This window comes from Homo sapiens, chromosome 6 (assembly GCF_000001405.40).
Source record: "Homo sapiens chromosome 6, GRCh38.p14 Primary Assembly".
Classification (NCBI taxonomy): domain Eukaryota; kingdom Metazoa; phylum Chordata; class Mammalia; order Primates; family Hominidae; genus Homo; species Homo sapiens.
Genome location: NC_000006.12, coordinates 39,809,193 through 39,827,780, shown reverse-complemented (window position 1 = coordinate 39,827,780; position 18,588 = coordinate 39,809,193). Strand labels below are relative to the sequence as shown.

At 47.0% G+C, this 18,588-nt stretch overlaps 1 protein-coding gene and 1 long non-coding RNA gene across 17 annotated transcripts in view, besides 1 other annotated feature; one reads left to right on the top strand and one right to left on the bottom strand.

The window, feature by feature from the left end:
* Positions 1-18,588, bottom strand: part of DAAM2 (dishevelled associated activator of morphogenesis 2) — a 112,494-nt gene that overhangs the window by 77,089 nt on the left and 16,817 nt on the right. The window contains exons 1-2 of one of the 16 annotated variants that reach the window (XM_047418536.1): positions 12,933-16,249; positions 10,958-11,118 (exon numbers count right to left, since the gene is read on the bottom strand). The exons of 12 other annotated variants lie outside the window; for them this stretch is intronic. Coding sequence is in view for 2 of the 4 variants with exons in the window: in XM_006715039.4 (XP_006715102.3) it covers positions 5,557-5,797 (241 nt within the window). In the remaining 2 variants the exon portion in view is untranslated. Of the gene's footprint in view, positions 1-5,556; positions 6,288-10,957; positions 16,250-18,588 lie in introns of those variants that run through there. 3 more of the 16 variants (XM_047418541.1, XM_006715039.4, XM_006715040.4) reach the window with 3 other exon arrangements.
* Positions 3,061-3,621: an enhancer, noted in NCBI's record as "NANOG-H3K4me1 hESC enhancer chr6:39791936-39792496 (GRCh37/hg19 assembly coordinates)". NCBI's record gives its function as "activates a minimal SCP1, AML or CMV promoter by ChIP-STARR-seq in primed H9 embryonic stem cells {active_cell/tissue: H9 hESC(primed)}" and the evidence as "EXISTENCE:reporter gene assay evidence [ECO:0000049][PMID:30033119]".
* Positions 7,970-17,951, top strand: LOC124901487 (uncharacterized). The gene is made up of 2 exons (XR_007059917.1): positions 7,970-8,084; positions 17,749-17,951. It is a non-coding gene; the product is annotated as an uncharacterized LOC124901487 (long non-coding RNA).

Below are 18,588 nucleotides of genomic sequence, written 5' to 3'. Positions count from 1 at the left end.
GGTTTGTGATTTTCCAGATTCCCCTTTGGTCCATTAAGAGAGTTCATTCTCAGACCAAGGGGGTCAAGGGGTATCACACTTCACACAAAGACAGAGACCCTGAAGAGTAATCCAGGCATGAGGACCCCAAGGAAAAGAGTCAGGGAGAATCCTCCAGCCACTGTTTCTGAAGCCCAGGCCCCTGCATCCTACCAGGCCCGGGGGCACCTCCATGAGCCCACACACACAGAGCCAAGGCGTGAGTGAGGGCCACCATTCCCTGGGGTGGTGAAGCACCATTCCACAAACCCAGACCCAATAATCAGACTCTGAAAAAGACTACCCCCGCCCCACTTCAGCTCCTGGATAGCTGTGCCTTCCCCTCTTGAGATGTCACACTCCCCACCTGTGTGCAAATGGACTCAACTCCTCCTTTCTCCGACATGATCTGCAGGACGCCCCTCATACAGCTGCTGGCATGCACAAGACGTTGAGAATGAAGGTACTACCATTTAAAGACCGCTTTACAGGCGAGAAACTGAGGCCCAAGAAGCAGGCTACTTGCCTCAGGACCCACAGCAAACTCATGCCACAGCCATGTCTAGAACCCAATTTTCGAATTCACAGCACAGAACTCTTCTCTCCCACTACAGAACAGTCGCAGACAAATTCTGCTTTGCTTCCTGGTTTCTCCTGAGTTTCTACTTAAGTGGAAACAACAACTACAAAAATGCAATATAAAAACAAAAATTAAAAATTCCAAAAATCTTAGCCAAGATTCATTCATGAATATTTCCCCTAAATATTGTGAGCCCTGCTAGGATCCAAGCTACACCGCCTCTCTCTTTAAATATTCTCAAATACTCCAGGAAACTGATTCCCAACTTCTCCTGATTTCCTCACCTCAGATTTTCTCTTTGAAGCTTGAAGGGTACTTAGAAACTTCTCTTTAAAAAGAGAAGGTGCTCCTGACAGTCATTCCAAGACATTTGGATTTGCCAAGTTGAAGTTACAGAAACCTGTGACTATGCATACTAATTATTATTATTTGCCTACCATTAGTATGCTTTTTCACATTTCACATCTGATTTTTTATGTACATTTTTCTTAATTTTTGTGTGCAAACAGTCCTAATATGAAGTGAAAAAAATCACTGGCAAAAGGAGAAAAGCAAACAAACTAGCCTGGTGTCCAGGGATTCAAGAATTTCAGGAGGATCGTGAGGCAAATTGGATATGTTCTCCAGGAAAGGGGAGCTATTGGGCATATCAGCTACACAACCGATCACCTGAGGATTCCACTGGAAATGAAAAAGAGAGAAAGAGAAGGAGTCGAGAGTCCCCCAAAACCCTAAGTGGCTTCTCCCCAGCTTTAGGACACCACAGGGATGCTCACCTTTTAAGAGACTTGCTTTCCTAGAATAGCCCCAGCCCCTCACTTTGGGATTGTGCTGTGAATGACAAAGTACTCATGGCAGGGAGCCCAGAGAGTTCCAGCAGGTAAGGAGAAGACCCTCGAAAGTAAAATAAAAAAAAAATCTGCTACTAACTGGCAGTTATTTGAACTAGTTATACCAGAGACCAGGAGCAGGCCGCACAATCGCTTCTTCCCCAGGGCTCTTCTCCTAAGCTGAGAAGATGCCAGCCGTGTGTTTATCATTTCTCCCCACTATCTTTTAAGGCAGCCACATCCCAAGCCAGCAGGCAGAAGCTGGACCAAGACACATGTCCAATGGGGAAGGAGGCCAGGTTCACTGCACTAGGCATGAAATACGCCTTATCTCATATTTGCCAACACACCTGCACCATGGGGACACATAAAATGTGAACCTCATTCCCATTTCCCATTAGAAATTAAGAGATTCACAAAGCCCAAATAATGTGTGCTGGGCCATTTAGCAATGATAGAGCAGGACTGGGTCTCCCTCCAATTCCATTCTACCCAAGAGGTACAAGGACCACTGCATGTAGTGTGCAGGCTGTGAACTGCAAGAGAATCCCACATCCAAGGAGATACATGAGCCCACCCTGCCTGCAGGGCTTGTACACCTGGGAAAGAGTACACTCAGTACACTCAGTACAGATATCGGGGTGCAGAAAGCCAGTCCCACCTATGCTCCCTTGACTCCCCCCATTCCCACCTGCCCAATCACAGCCACGGTGGGAGCAGGGGAAGGACATATCTTATCCCTGGTACGATGGAGAGGGTGTGTGATCAGGTGACAGGGTGATTCTGTGAGTGAATGCACAGCCAGGCTCAGGAAAGTGCCCCCCAACACACACACACTGGCAGAGCTGGGCTACTTTACAGGAGTATGCTTAACTATGTTTCCTTCAAGAAACAAAGGCCCCCCACCAACCCCCCGACCTTGTGTTTTGTTTTGTTTTGTTTTGTTTTGTTTTGTTTTGTTTTGTTTTAAACAGTCTTGCTCTGTCACCCAGCTGGAGTGCAGTGGCGCAATCTCAGTTCGCTGCAACCTCCACCTCCCGGGTTCAAGCATTATCCTGCCTCAGCCTCCTGAGTAGCTGAAACTACAGGCGCACACCACCATGCCTGGCTAATTTTTGTATTTTTAGTAGAGAGAGCGTTTCCCCATGTCCGCCAGGCTGGTTTCAGACTCCTGACCTCAGGTGATCTTCCTGCCTTGGCCTCCCAAAGTGCTGAGATTACAGGCGTGAGCCACCGCACCCAGCCTGACAAAGACCCTTCTTAAATTCACATCCAGGCCCTGCATGGCTAAGCAGCCTCTCTGATCAGGCTCCTTCTTGGCAGCTGGCAGGTCAGCTACCTGGGCCCCTCTGAAGCCACCCCAGGTCACCTCTCATCATTCTCCTCCAGGAGTTAGACAGTTGGGATAACCTGGCTCTGGAGAGGAAGACTGGCAAGTCCCAAGAAAGTATTTGTGTCTCCCCCTGCTATTCTCATCCAGCTGGCCTTTCCCCATGGCCCTCACCCATGATAAATGCACCCTGGATGGGGAAAGAGGAACAGAAATTCCATGCTCTGGACCTTGCCTGGAGCTGGCTTCCCAACCATGCGACTTCCGCGGAACCTGCTCTTGCCGAGAAGGCACCAGTGGGTCCTCTCCAGCTCAAACATCTGCCTCCCTCAGCTTGTCCTGCCTGCAGGAGCTGGCCAGCTTCTCCTGCATGCTATGCTGATGCAAAGTTCTCTGTCCTGAATTGGCAGAACCACCTCTGTCAAGGATGTGGGGTTTGTTTTCTTAATTAACTGAAAATGCTAACATGGGAGCCCAGGAGCTGGCAGGGGCCTGGCCTTCAACCGCTGCTAGAAAAAAATCTTGCTTTGAAATCTGGATCTCTAACGCCCCACAGGGGATGTCAAAACAAACAGGGACACTTGATCCTGGAGCACAGGGCCTGGGGCAGGTTCAGGTTACAGGGCCAGAGATGGATTTAGCTACAGGATGCCACAGCAACCAACAGGTGACCAGATCCTGATTTCCCAAAATGGTACAGCTAGACCCCAAGATGCCCCCTGCTGGGGCACGGGCTCTAGGGGGATGGGGAGAGGTCATTGGGATTTATGCCAGCAATACTTCCTGAGTGCCTACTGCCCAGCAGGCACAGAACTGGGGGCGGGGGAGGCTGCAGAGATAGCCAAGTTCTATTGACTCCTGCGCTTGAGGAGATAAAATTAGGAACAAATTACTAATGTGTAGCACAGAAGGCCCCCAGAGCTGAAATATTTACTATCAAGACCTTTGCAGATAATGTTCACTGACTCCTAATGTACAAGACAGAAGAGGGTAGAGTGGAGTCTGGAGAAAAGACGACCAGAATGACCACCCAGGGCCCAGCTGAGGGACAGTAACCAGAGAGTGGAGATACAATGGAGCATCATTCAAAAGCAGAGATGACAGCAAGACCCAAAACCCCAGCAGGGGGAGGAGGGAAAGGAGGTGGAAGAGGATGGAGAGGCAGGGGTCCTCAGTCTCCTGCCTCCAGCCTCCAAGACTGGCAGGACATCCGATCCAGAAAGGATGCTGATTGCCCAGCCCCATCTAAGGGCCAAAGCACCAGGCTAGCATGATACAGCCCTGGATGCCCCCAGGGTGGTGAGGCACAAGTCACATGCACAGTTCTGTACACCAGGGATCATGCGATGGCCTTCTCACCTAACAGCTGGGCCTCAGGAAAGGTCAGAAGTTCTGAATGACCACAAAACATCCCTCTTTGGGAGGAAGTCACACAGTGTTCCAGGGAGGCCCCACACTTCCCCCTTCCCGGCACAAGTCGTCCCATCTGCAAAGGCCCAGAAAGGAGCAAGTTTGCTTGAGGTCAGAGATGCTATGTCAGAGCAGAGCACACCAATCTGAACTCAAGAGTCTTCGTTTTTCCTGACTTGCCTGTTCCTCTCTGAGTCTCTGGCCTAGGTCCATCCTGAGCTTGGAGACCAGCAGGTTGGAAGATTCAGAACCCCCAAGCTGCTTTGCCCCAACCTGAACTCCTCAGTTTTCTTCACCCCCCAGGAGAGGAGGATGTTGAACCATTTCCTCTTGGGACACCCATACTGCACATCTCCCTTCCTGCAGTAGAATCTGTCGATGTAGCCTTTCTTAATCTTTGGGCCTTTGAAGCACACAGTGTAGAGCCCAGTTTGAGAAACAAAGCATTGAAAGTTAAAAACTATCATTTTAGGAAACCACTCGGTGCCAACTTGCACAGAAACACAAACCTGGGGACTAAAATCGCATGCCAATAGTAGGTTATATGGTGGTCATTCAGATGATTCAGAATAAATGCCTCCAATTTTTACAGTATTATTATTAAAATGAAAACAAAGAAACATTTCTCAAGGAAAAGCACATTCTCAAGCAGAGTCTCAGACCTTGGAGAAAACAATCACACAATGTTCCCAGGGGTCTCTGGGGCCCAGTGTGAAGGGCTCTGGCTGGGGGTGAGGACCCAGGCTATGGAGTTAGGCTGCCCTGGACCCTTCCCTGTCCCAGCTGTGTCCTGAGTGCCCTCTACAATGGCTGTCACACAGTAGGCCAGCAATTCAACTTTGTTGAACACACAAATGAATAAATGGTTAGACGACTTAAGAGGTTCATCCTGGCTTTGCCATTTACCAGCCCTGCATCTTTAAGGAAAGGTCCTTAATCTCTGAGCCTTAGTTTCTTAATCTTTGAAATCTACAAAATTAGTCACAAGTCAATAAACTACTGCAAGAATTAAAGGAGATGCAAAGCCTTTAGCAGAGTGATTGGTGCATTCAAGGTACAGAATAAATGGTAACTATTATTGTTACTTTTCAAAAATGGCTTTAATCTCACATCCAAAATATCTTTCCAGCTCTGCACACCTTCCCAATTCCACCATGCCATATTATATTTTGGTAAATCCCCAGCACAAAGCCTGGCACAAGTAGGAACACAGAAAACATCTGTTGAAGCATAATTTAGCAGAAAGTGTCTCTGATTTGGAAACCCTCGGGTGAGTGCCAGGGGCTGAGGCTTCTAGCATTTCCTGCTTCCTCCATGGGAGGCCACCTCTTTGTAACAGACCCCAGCCCTCCAAACTGTACCTGAGCATTCAAGGCCAGGAAGCTCACCTGTGTCCATGCCACAGGAAATGGGACGGGGGCATTTGCTCTGCAGAGGGTGGGGATGCTGGCTGAGCCCATCCCCCTGCTGCATAGACTTCTCCTCCCATTCCTTCTCACTCCAGCTCTGGGGAGCGTGGGCCTCCCCCCAGGCAGCGTTCCCAGGCTTCAGCAGTAACAGGCCCTCCATTCTTCCCTGCCCTTGGCAGACCTGCCTCCTCCCACTACGACACTGTCCGCTGCTGCTCATGGGCAGCTGCCTCAATCCAAGGAGACAACGCAGATTTCTTGGGGCCCAGGCCTGGTCTGTCCCCTGACCCTATAGGAAGAAGAGGAATTGGTCCAAGTCTCCTCCTGAGATACACTCACAGGGTCACTCATTTCACCCTCAGGCTGCAAATGTCACTGGTCTCTGGCATCTTCACAAACAGCACTCACTGACCACACTTTGTTTTTCCCAAATGAGGGAGAAATCTGACATCTGCCCCTCCCGGATCTTCACTCCTTGGGCCAGGCTCCAGCTATGTTCAGATGTCAACCCCCAGCTCCCTGCCTCAAGGTTGACAACCACCAGGATAAGGTGGGGGGCTATCCCCAAGTTCAAGACTCGCTACCCACTGGGGATCCCAGTCCCCACCTCTGTCTCCTCCTTCTCACATTTGCCCATCAGATACCACTGGCAAGAGTCACCAGAACTCAACCCAAAATCTGCAATCCACAATCCAAGGAAGAGGATGTAACGCGGCTTTCTTTCACTTACCAAGTTTATCCAGCTATTTTCCAACTTTCTTTTTAGGAATCCTGAGCTCAGTCCTCAAGAATTATCTTCTGATGTCCCAGAGCTGGGTGCTGGGAGCCCAGGGCCACAGCAGGGGGCTGCAGACAGGGAGTCCTTCTGTGGGCATGGATTCCTGGGGTGGGGTGTGCTTGATTTGAAGCAGTGCCCCCTCCTCTGGAGGCTTCAGTACTAAAATCCAGCCCAGGAGTGTCCCAACCACAGCCCAGCAAGGTATCTAGCAAGGGAGGCAGGGCCACTGTCAGGAGCAGAATGTGTGGCTCTCTTTCTTAAAGGGACAGCCTGCCCCAAGAGCCCGAGGTGGGTGGAAATGCTAGAAAGGAAGGAGCAAGGGAGGATAAGCTAGCATCCTCCAGGGAAAAACTCTGAACACACACCAGTCTGTGACTCGGCACTAGCCTCATCCTGTGGTATGACAAGCTTCTCCACTTTCCTGATGTAGAACATGGAGGCAGAAAGACCCTTCCCCAAGGGAACTCACCTACTTTCCTCTAGGGCTGAACTCACCCAGAGGGTGTTGCAATAACCCATAAGAAATATTAATTATTTGCTATGTACACAGCACTTTCCTAAGTGCTTTGCATGAAGAAAATGATTTAGTCCCAATAGGAACTTTAGGAGGTAGGTATTGTGATTATTATTCCCATTTTACAGATGAGGAAACTGAGGCCTGGAGATAGTAAATTGCCAAGGTCTTACAGGTAATATGTGAAAAAATTAGGATTTGAACAAAACTGATTCTACTGGAGCTCAACCACTCATCTTCTACCAACCTTGTCCAGAGGGTAAATTTCTTTTTTCATCTTTATAGTTTTTAGTATTTTCCACATTCTAAAATAGGCATTATTCTGTATACAGAGAAAAAAAAATAAAGATCCCACCTTCTATCTCTCACTCCAATATTTCAATCAAGACGAGACTAGAGCGAGAAGATAAATGTATTCTACGTGGAAGCTCTAAGAGGAAGGAGAGTAGCAAAATTAACAGGACAGTGCAGCAAGGCTATGATTAAATCTATTTGAGTTAAGTTTTGCCTATTATAGATCCACAGGCAGGTTTTAAATAAAATTAAAATAATAGCTTCTTCTTTCAGCCAAAAACTGAAATAAAAAGTTTTTTAAAACCTGGTAACTGAAAAATTCAGCGAAGTCCAGGCTCCTCATAGATTATCCAAGACCTTTCCTAATTTGATCACCAGCTCCCTCCGCAGCTTCCCCCACATGGTCCCACCCACCCCACCCAGCCACCAGGCCAGATTACCAGAGGTTTCCATAAGCCTCTCCAGCACGCTGCCACTCACTCAGGCTAGGATGCCCATTCCCTCCACCTGTGCAGTCTTTGCCATCTTTCCAGACCAGGTTAAACTGTCAGTGCTGCTATGGAGGCTTCCACCCCCACGAGCAGAGTGTTGAACATTAAAAACTCCTTCCTCTGTGCTCTCACAAGCTTTGCCCGTTGCTATGGACTGAATGTGTGTGTCCTCTCAAAATTCATAGGTTGAGGCAGAATTCCCTATCTGATGCTATGTGTAGGCGGGGCCTTCGGGATATGATTAGGTCATGAGGGTGGAGCTCCCCTGAACGGGATTCATGCCCTTATAAAAGAGACCCCAGAGAGCTGTCTCATCCCATCTGCCATGTGAGGACACAGTGAGAAGGCTGAACCACCAGACGTCAAATCTGCCAGTGCCTGGATCTTGACTTTCCGGCCTCCAGAACTGTGAGAAATAAGCGTTTGCTGTGTAAGTCACCCAATCTATGGTATTTTGTTAGAGCAGCTTGAACTAAGACATCATCCAAAGTCTATTGTTAGAGGTAGCATCACATTGTATGCTAATTAACTGAGCATCTTTTTTTCACTTTTCTGTCCCTAGCACCTAGCACTAAAATCTTGTGGAGTCAGGCAGCTCATGATAGTAATTCTTATTGTTTGAGAGTGTGTTTGAGAGTGTGTCATAAGTGTTTAGTTTTGTGGGCACTTCCTCATGAGTTACCTCATTTGAACTTCACAACAATGAATAGGCATTAGATGTGTCAAATGTTAGTACTGGAGGAGGTAAGTAGCATTTGAGGTCCTTGTGACTCTGCCCTTTGAAGACTAGGTTTGCCCAGATGGACCTGAAGGACTGGCCAGGCTCCCCAAGCCCATTTTCAGCTGGGCCAGACTCTACACCGTCCCTGCCTTCCACAGGCCTCCCTGTGCTCCAACCTAACATCCTCTTGTCCTCAGCTTCCCTCCAGCCAAACAGAAAGCCAGTGGGCATAGAGATGATGGTGATGCTCACCAGCTGGGGTGTAGCCTGCATTCTCTGTGAGTTAGTGCATGCAAAATGGCCAAAGCACTGATGAGAGGCCACATGCCACATTTTCAAATAAGAACCCAGAACAATTCTGCCAGTTTTGTGGAGGAAAACCCTGTTATACATCCCTGAGGCTGTACCCCCTGGCACTGGCATCACTGAAAAAGGGTGTGGAACAAAGGCACACAGAATGTCAGAGCCAGAAGGAACCTTAGAAATCACATTGCTCAACCCCACTCTAGACAAGGAAATGAGGGCCCACACTCAGGAGAGGCTTGTCAGAAACAGTGACTCAGTAGCAAAAAACACAGAGCGACAGCTGGCTCCTGAGCCCTTTCAGATGATTCCGATCCAAGCAAGAAAAAGGAACCTAAAGAATTTATACTAAAAGGAGGTCACAAAGGCCAAATTAATTGCAAGGCATACTTCAATTACACAGCACACAAATGGGCTTTAAATGCAACATCACACACAGAAAACATGTTATAAAGAAAACAATACAGAAGAATAACAGGACGATGTTCAGTAACAGTGTTCAAATTTAGTCACCCTGGAGGCCAGGCCATGCTACAACCCATGTTCTTCCATGACCTCTGCTACGAATGAATTGAGCAGGTAGAGCTAAGTCTAACACTATTTCTGCATTGTGTTAGTAGAATGCATTAACGTCAAAATACCACAGATTAATACTTTCTTTCATCCTCAGATAAAATAATTTATAGTTGTTCTAGTTGTTGGTGCTTAGTCAAATATTGTTGGTCCCCACCCCCGATTACACACAGAGGATGGTACTTCCTGGGTCCTTGTGTTGGGTGGAGTCATGTGGCTAACTTTGGCCCATTCGCTGAAAATATGAAGGGTTAATTTTATGTGTCAAGTTGGCCATGGGACCAGGTATTTGGTCAAATACCAGTATAAAGGTTACTGTGAAGTTTTTTTTTTTTTTTTTTTTTTTTAATTGAGATGCAGTTTCACTCTGTCACCCAGGCTGGAGTGCAGTGACGCCACCTCGGCTCGCTGCAGCCTCCACCTCCCAGCTTCAAGCGATTCTCCTGCCTCAGCCTCCCAAATAGCTAGGACTACAGGCGTGTGCTACCATGCCCGACTAATTTTTGTATTTTTAGTAGAGCTGGGAATTCACCATGCTGGCCAGACTCGTCTCAAACTCCTGACCTCAGGTGATCCACCCACCTCGGCCTCCCAAAGTGCTGGGATTACAGGCGTGAGCCACCATGCCCAGCCAGAATTTTTTCTTTTTTTAACATGAGATGAACACTTAAATCAGTAGACTCTGAGTAAAGCAGATTACCCTCCATAATGTGGGTAGGCCTCATTTGATCAGTTGGAGGCCTTCAGAGAAAATGACCGAGGTCCCCCAATGAAGGGAACTCTACCCCTAGACTGCCTTCAGTCTTGAGCTGCAACATCAGCTCTTTCCTGGGTCTCCAGCCTGCTGGCCTACCCTGCAGATTTTTGACTTGTCAGTCCCACAACCATGGGAGCCCATTCCTTAAAACAAATCCAGATATATGTAGAGAGAGATCCTATTGGTTCTGTTTCACTATAGAACACTGATGAACAGAAGCATCATTAGTGGTCTAGAGCTTTTAATTGTGAGGACCAGACTCCCTTTTCCTTTAGAACAGCAACTGCCAACATTGAAGACAGGGCCTGTTCTGCCAGCCTCAGTTCCTGAGGGACTAAAACAAGCAGAGACCCTCTGTTGATCCACTACCGACAGATAACATGAGTAAGAAATACACCTTTGTTGTTTTCAGTCACTGAAATTTGGAGATTGTGTGTTATTACGCATAATCTTTTACTGACTGAAGTGCTCATTGTTTATCTTAGATTTAAGACATTAGGGGGCAAGGAGAGAAACCCAGAAAAGTAATAGAATCATAAAAGGATTTTGATCCTGGCCTCCCAGAAAGACTCCCAGGCACATGGCCCTTCCTCCAGCTGCATAGTTTCCCTGTTGTGTATGTTGGGATCCTGGGAGTCTTAACCCAGAATCCAGCCACAGTTGTGTAAGTGCATCAAAGGTGCGATCTCACTGCTGAAACTTCCCTAGAAAATGTTCAGAGCTCTGCTGAGGAATCTGACCTGGGCCTAGGATGGGAAGCCCTCCAAAGAACAAAAGTTTCCACTACGGCAACAAGAATGTTAAACACGATTTTGAAAAACTTCTCAGCAAAAGAAATGTGATGATGAGTATTTATAAGCCAAAAACCAAAGGCCATTCCCTAGTTCCTGTGAGGTTTCCCGCCACACGGGGAGCGTTAACAGGACTAGAGACGGTACTGGAAACAGACCTGGATGTCCTTGGCTCCACTGCAGATGGGTTAAGTGTGGAGCCTTTGAGAAAAAGCAGTCACAAAGTGTTGATGATTCTCCTTGGAAATCAAGGGTGATCCAGAGGCTGCTGGGACTCCTCCATACCTTTCTTCTCAATGAATAAATCCAGGCCCCTGAACTTAAATACAGAGGTAAAGTGTGGGGTAGAATAAGATATAATGGACTTGAACTATTACAGGAACTATTTAGCTGAGACCAGCAGCTCTCAAAACTGGGGGTGGCTACCCATCACACCCCCTGCCCCCAGAGACATTTGGCAATGTCTGGAGAAGTTTTGTGGTTCTCGTAACTAGTAAATGTTACTGAGATCTACTGAGTAGAGGCTCGGGGTGTTAATAAGCCTCCTATATACAAAAGATAGCCCCCCCACAACCAAGAATTATGTGGCCTAGTATCAAGATTGAGAACCTGTGGCTGTGATCAAATCCCTAGTTATGAGGGTGTGAAGGTTTAGAACAAGAGCAGGAGAACATTTATAGAGCAATATGCCCCATTGCAAAAATAAATACATTGCAGTCAAACTGTGGGACCTCAGATAAGCAGTATCAGCATTACCTGTGAACATGTTAGAAATGCGCAGCCTTGGGCTCTGCCCCAGACTCCTGGATCAAATTCTTTCTCAAGTATTTACTAGAAAAAATACAACGTGTGATTCATATACCTATAGAGAAAAACCAAAACTATCACTAAAGCATCCTGAGAGGTAGCACAGTTCATGTCAGTAGGAAAAATAAATCTTCATTGCTACTCTTCTCCCTATGAGGGAGGAATCCAGCATGAGAATCAGGGTAGAAGGTCCATTCTTTAGAAGTTGTCTTTGGATTTGCAAAGTGAACTGAGGAGCAAAGTTGAGGAGTGGGGCTGGAGAGTAAAGACAGCTGAATTACTCAACATAATAAAGAGGGGGACCTGTTTGAGTGAGTTGCTTGTGAGCACCAAGGGAGAGAGGAGGAAGACCAAATGGTGTAACCTTTGGCCAATCTATTTTAGAATAAGCTTATCCAGTGCTCAATTCTGAATTGTTGTAATACAAATACCCTTGGTCTCCCCAGACCTCCATAAAGTTCACCGCATTCATGAAGCCTTGTGTAAACGGTGTGTGTGTGTGTGTGTGTGTGTGTGTGTGTGTAAACCAGGGGTATGGGAGTAATTCCACATCTGGGTCAACACAGTGCAGAAGAGTTCGTGGTTTGCATGACACCAATAAGAGTTAATGTTTCCTGTGAGCTTACTATGTGTAAGGCACTGTTAAACTGTGTTTAACAGACACAGTTTCATTGAAGGCTCACAGCTGCCCTATGGGGAATACCATGGTTATTTCATATTAGGGATAAGAGGTCTGCAGCAGAGGGAATTTATGCCACTTGCTCAGGGACACCCATACAATGAGTGAGCCTTAGAGACAGAATTGAAATCTCAGCAGTCTGGCTCCAGAGTTCATGTTAATTTCTGGGCCACCATGCTTGTCACCTAGGGGTAGTTAATAATCTTAACGAATTCAGTGGAAATAGGAACTCAGAGCCAGAGGTGATGTGAAAAATATAAGCCACCACCACTTATTTTGGAATCTCCAGACCAGCAGTTCCCAGGCTTCAGTGTGCACCAGGATCACCACGTGAGCTTGATAAGACACAAATCGCTGGGCTGCACCCCTAGAGCTTGATCCAGAAGCCTTGGGCAGAGCCCAGGGATGTGCATTTCTAAGAAGTTCACAGGTGATTCTGATACTGCTGGTCTAAGGTCCCACAATTTGAGAACCACTGCCCTCTGTTTGTGGCAGTGAGATTCAGCTAATTTATTCTGAATCTCAAAGACAGGGCTCCTCGGGTGACATCTGGTCACAATATCAATGACTGAGTGGCTCTGAATTGAATCAGGCTAATACTGAAGAGAATGGAGGAGGAGAGGGATGAGTATCCAGTGGAATTCAACCTGGAAAACTTCCTGGAGGAAGAGCCACGTGGTGAGAACAGATGCTGAGGTTACTTATTTCCTCAAATCTCCTTGATACACACTCCATACAGCAGGGCTCAGGCATTTGAGTTCCACAGAAATGGTGGGAGGGCACCCCTTGTTCTTTGGTGAGTCAATCCAGAAAGGCTTAGCAGAAAGTGAGGAATCAGGAGACATTCTCTTCCATGGAACTAGAAGCTGCCTAGGACAGTGGTTAGGAGAAAGATGAACGCGTTTGAATTGCAGCTCTGCTGCTGTGCCACATGGATCTTACTCCAGGTCCTTAGCTGTTCTAAACTTTAGTTTCCAAATCTGTAAAACAGAAAATCAGTTGTATGTGAAGTGCTCACCACAGTGCTCACCCAACGCCAACGCCAACCCCAACAAAGGCATCAGAGCTCCATCTGTGGCCAGGGAAACCAAGCCAAGGTCAAAGGGGAGGCTGGCTTTGTTACTGCTCCCAACTCACATAGGAGCTGGGAGGTTGAGGTTTAGATGCTCTTCATCTTCTGTCATTTAAAACAGGGTGTCTAATCTTTTGGCTTCCCTGGGCCACACTGGAAGAAGAAGAATTGTCTTGGGCCACACATAAAATACACTAGCACTAACGATAGCTGATGAGCGAGAAAAAAAAAAAAAGAAAGAAAGAAAAAGAAAACTTAAAAAAAATAAAACCTTGCAAAAATCTCATAACATTTTAAGAAATTTTATGAATTTGTGTTGGCCCTCATTCAAAGCCATCCTGGGCCGCATGCAGCCCATGGGCCACGGGCTGAACAAGCTTGATTTAAAAGATCCTCCATCCCACAGGGTATCAGCTGGTCTTTTAGGGCCCCTTTCCCCCAGTTCTCAGTTTCCTCTCTACCAAACAGTGGCCATGACCCTTTTCCACACCTCACTTGACTTATCTCCTCATTTACAAAGTTGGTAATACTAACCAGAAGATAAAACCACAATACAAAACTGTCTAACATCTGCACATATAATATGTATTCAACCATGCTTTTACAATGTATGTGGAGAGAAAAGACTGGAAACATTAACTGCCAAATGTTAAGTGACCTGGGAAGGCAGATTCTCCAAGTGTTGTTTGTGGCCAGGTGGGAAGCTGTGGGAAAGGGGGCAGAGGAACAGAAAGATCAAAGTCTCTTTTCAGTGCCCCGTGATGGGCTCATGAACTAATTTTATTTTTGTCTTCTGCTACTATGTATTTTGTATAATAAATCCATGTTTCTTTTATAATAAAGGAGAGAATTTTTTTTAAAAAAAGCAACTTCATATCCTCCTAAAGCTTTTCTTGATTATAACTCACTCCACACACACTCTGCTCACTCAGCTCACGTGCTTCCTCTTGGTGCCTGTCCTGTTTCTAGCCTATGAATTTGCATAACGCAGCCATAAGAGGTTGCTTTCTAAATGCTTTCGAGCAGATTTCCTATTCATTTACCTTAGATCTTCTGGTAAGCTGAGCTGCCCCAAAGAGGAGGGAGATGCTTCCTCCTAGTGGAAGAGCAGCCAGACTCATCGCCTATGATTCACCCCCACCCCAAAAACTCACTAGAGGGCTCTTCAAACAGTAAGTGGTCCATGCCAAAAGGAACTGCACAGAAAGTGGCCTGTAGGTGAGGAGAACTGTGTACACATACATACACACACACACGCACACACACACACACACACAATCTGCCTCTTCTTTCCTTCTCTCTCCAGAGGAAAATGTCATCCGGTTAGTGCCCTCAGATGAACTGGGAAGGCAAGCTCCCCGGTTGTGGTTTGTGAGGGGTGGGTGGCTGGGGAGGGGAGGTGTCAGGGAGAGCCAATCCACTTCCATCTGGCACTGAAATCTACACTTATTTTCCTGGACTGGACTACGATCCCCTTTCCCAATGTGAGGAATCGTGCTTTCTTGGTGACACACACTTTCCCCCAAGAATGCTTGGCTTTTCAATGAGGAATTCTTATATATTTGGGATTCTTGGAAACAGGACAAAGACTAATGAATTGCTGGCTCTATCCTAGGTTTGGAAACCCTCTAGAACTCACAGGAGCTGGAGGAGGACAGAGGCAGGCAGGAAAAGGGAGTTGAGGGTGTGTTTGCAACAGAGGGGAGGGTGGCAGGATTGAGATGTCAGATTAAATTGTTTGAGTTACAGGCACTCCAAAAGCTACCTGCTGACTCCACAGTCAGAGGTCACCATCCACACTAAGAATAGAAGGCTGACAGGGGCAGGGTGGGGAGGCGGGGGATACTGAGTGTTTGTGGAGGCTAGAGAGTTATAACAAAGCAGAATTCAGGTACAGTCGATTGTCAAGTTCATCATGAAGTGAAATGATTGGGGTACGGTACAGAAAGCACGGGTCTTAGGGTCAGGCACACCTTACTTGGAATCCCCTCTGTGCCACAAACTAGATGTGCAACTTCAGGAAAGTTGACTAAATTCTCAGAACCTCAGTTTCCTCTTCTATAAAATGGGATAATACCCACTTTGCAGAGCTGTTAGAATGAGATGTGTTGAAATGTGCAAGGGCTTAGCCCAGTGTCTGGCACCTAGTGAGCCCTCCATACATGGTAGGTATTATTTAGAGAATTTGAATTTGAAGAGTAGGAGTGTATAAAACCCTTCATAGGAGAACAGCTGCAGAAGGTCTGACTGCCGTGGGTCTGGCCAGGGAGTGGGAAGACCTAGCTCCCGGGGTCCGCAGCAACCAGGCTTATATTCCCCTCCTAACATGCTCTTTGGTAGCCTTTGTTAGTTCTGGCAGGTTTGGGCTATGCACCCTGCCCTATGCCCCAGATACAAATTCTCTGTAGCCTCAGTGTTTAAGTCCAAGGAGTAAATGTGTGGGTTCCAGGTCACCAGAATGAAATCACAGAGGGTCTACAGGGGCCCTGCATCCTCAGTCTCAGTTCCCTCAATTATCAGGAAGGGGACTGGCTTCTCAGTAAACATTAGGCAAACCATCCAACCCTGGTGTCTAAGGAGCTCCATGAGTTCTCAAGCCATCCTGGAGAAAGCCAGGGGCTGAGTTCCTGCCACCCTTCTCAGATCCCCCCGCCAACATCCCCTGCCAAGAGCTCTAGTAACCTGGGCAAACAGACCATGGCCCCCAGGGTGTTCTCAGCCTAACAGAGAAGGCCAAACCCAGACATAAAAGACTTCAGAATACAGCAAAACAAGGGAGAAAGAAAACAGTTTTCTTTCAAAGGAGCTTATATATGCAGAGGGATCATGAGGTGATTTAAGGAATCCACATTCCATGGGGTAAATCCAGGCAGACGTTCCAGAGAGGAGGGTGCCGGGTGGGGTTGCCATTTGGTGTTGCCCACGAGCTCTCCCCAAAAGTCCCCTCCTTTACTCTGTGGCCTGCCTGAAGGAGAACAGGCACTTTGTCCTGAAATAGTCAATGTACATAACCCCTCCATCGCAGGGATGCTCAGGGTGGCTCTAGTTACAACAATAAGGGTTTAACAACTGGAGTGCTTGCAATGGCGGAGGCAGAGAGAGAAAACAAAACAACATCCACATGAGGTTTTCATTTTCTTTAGCCACGTGAGAATGGCCCTGAAGATCCAGCTATAAATACCCAGCTGCCATTGCCACAAGATGGAAAATCACACACACACACACACACACACACACACACACACACACTCCCTTCAGTTTACAGGCTTACAAATGCAAATCAAAGTTTCTAAGAATATCTGCCTTGAGAAGAGACAATGCTGGACCCCTTGTGCTAAATGCCTTGTCAGGAGGCCTCCTCAAACATATCTGAGGACTTGGCAAGGAGCATTCCCACAGCCATCATCAGGGTGGAATGAGGATCTGCCTCCACAACACCCAGGCCAAGCCAAAGCCCACCAGTGGCCACAAACTGGGCTGAGGGGAAGGGTTTTAGATCCCTTCCCTTAGGGTGTAATAAAGAATAGCCTGCTTTACCCAGGACATTTTAGATTGGGTTCGCTAGAAGCAGAGCCTCGGACAGGATGGGTGTATGTGTGATTTGGTGAAACTGAGCTCTCAGGAAGAACCAGAAAGGGAATGAAGGAAATAGGAAAAGGCAGGGGAGGGATCTGGGAAAGAATGTGGTTTCGGGTGAGGTCTAACTTCAGCCTCATGCTGTGAGGAACTCTGAAGGGTGACTTGGACCGAGACACATTTGTCCCCATAAGGGGCAAAAAAATGGGGCTCTTCCCCTTTCCTAGTGAGTCATTGGTCACAGGATGCAGGGGAGAGGTGGGCTGGGGTGGGGCAAGTGGGTGTAACTTCCAGGTACCTCTGGGTAGAGGGGATGGACAACCCAAGGGCAGCCCACACAGGTGTGAACCATTAGCTGGAGCACCCACAGCAACCAGGGGTCTGGGAAGAGCACCAATAGTATTTTCTGCAGACTCTGCCATACCAAGTGGCTTGTTGCTTAGAATTTGCTTTTTCTATTGATTACATAGGTTTTTGTTTGTTTTTATTTTACCTGTGAAGATTTTAGAATCAGCCTGCTGAAGAGAGAAACAAGGTTTGATCGATGTGACACATGATGCTCATTGTTCACCTAATGTCTGATCTCTTCTTCTTTCTTCCTATGAATGGGTCCCTGCTTTTGTTTGCAGCAGCAACATGCCCAATTAAAAAATGTTCAGCTTCCCCCCGGACTCCACTGCAGTTTGGGACCTCTATTCAACAGAATTTTGATGTGTATGGCCAGGACTTTCCGAGAAGCTTATTAAAGAGACTGGAAGTAGCTGGCATGCACTTTTTATGCATTGTCATTTTCTTTCTTCCTGCCTGGAATGCAGATTGAAGATGGAGGTGATGCAGCCACATTGTAACCATGAAGCAATGAGCACAAAGACAAAGGTTCCATTCTAAAGAAGGCTGAAGAAGAGAGAGAGAGAGGGAGCCTGGGTCCCTGATGGCACTGTGGAACCACCCTACCAACTCTGGAGTGTGTCTGCTGAACTGGTTGTGTAAGAAAAATAAAGAACCCCAGTTGACAGAACAACTCTAGCCAGGTTTCTGTTCCATGTGGCTATAGCTGAATATAAATTCTGATACAAACCTCAAAACACTCGTTCTGTGGGGTATACCATGGAAAAAGTCCCTTTAGATAAATTGAGAAGCGCTAGTTTAGACATCGTAAAACTAGGGTGTTTTTTGTTTTTGTTTTTTTACTGCAGTGCTTCTCTGAGCATTGTGGCTCTCTAGGGGGAAAAGTAGGGGAGATGGAAAAGGGCTACTTAAATTTCTTTAACCACAGAACTTTCTTTTTCCCTAGGACAACCATTGTGAGAACTTAGTGTTCCATCAAAGGCAGTTTGGGAAATGCTACAATAGATGACCTCTTCAGATTTCTTTCCTCCTGAACATTTCACCATTCCCCAGCTAGAAGAAACCGAGCAGATAGCCAGGTCTATAAGCAGCCCTGGTACGTGACTTTAATGAGACATGAATGAGAGCCAAAGAACTGAGGCCTGTGAGGTTGGTCACGGAAGAGCAATGAACTAGGTAAATTAAGAAACTCAGGGAGGTGCCAAGTCCCTGAAATTTCAGAGTGCCCACTCCCCCATTACGTTTCTGCTAAGCCATGAGTCTGGCAGAGGCTGTGTCCCTCTGGATCCACAGCTCCTGCCAAGTGG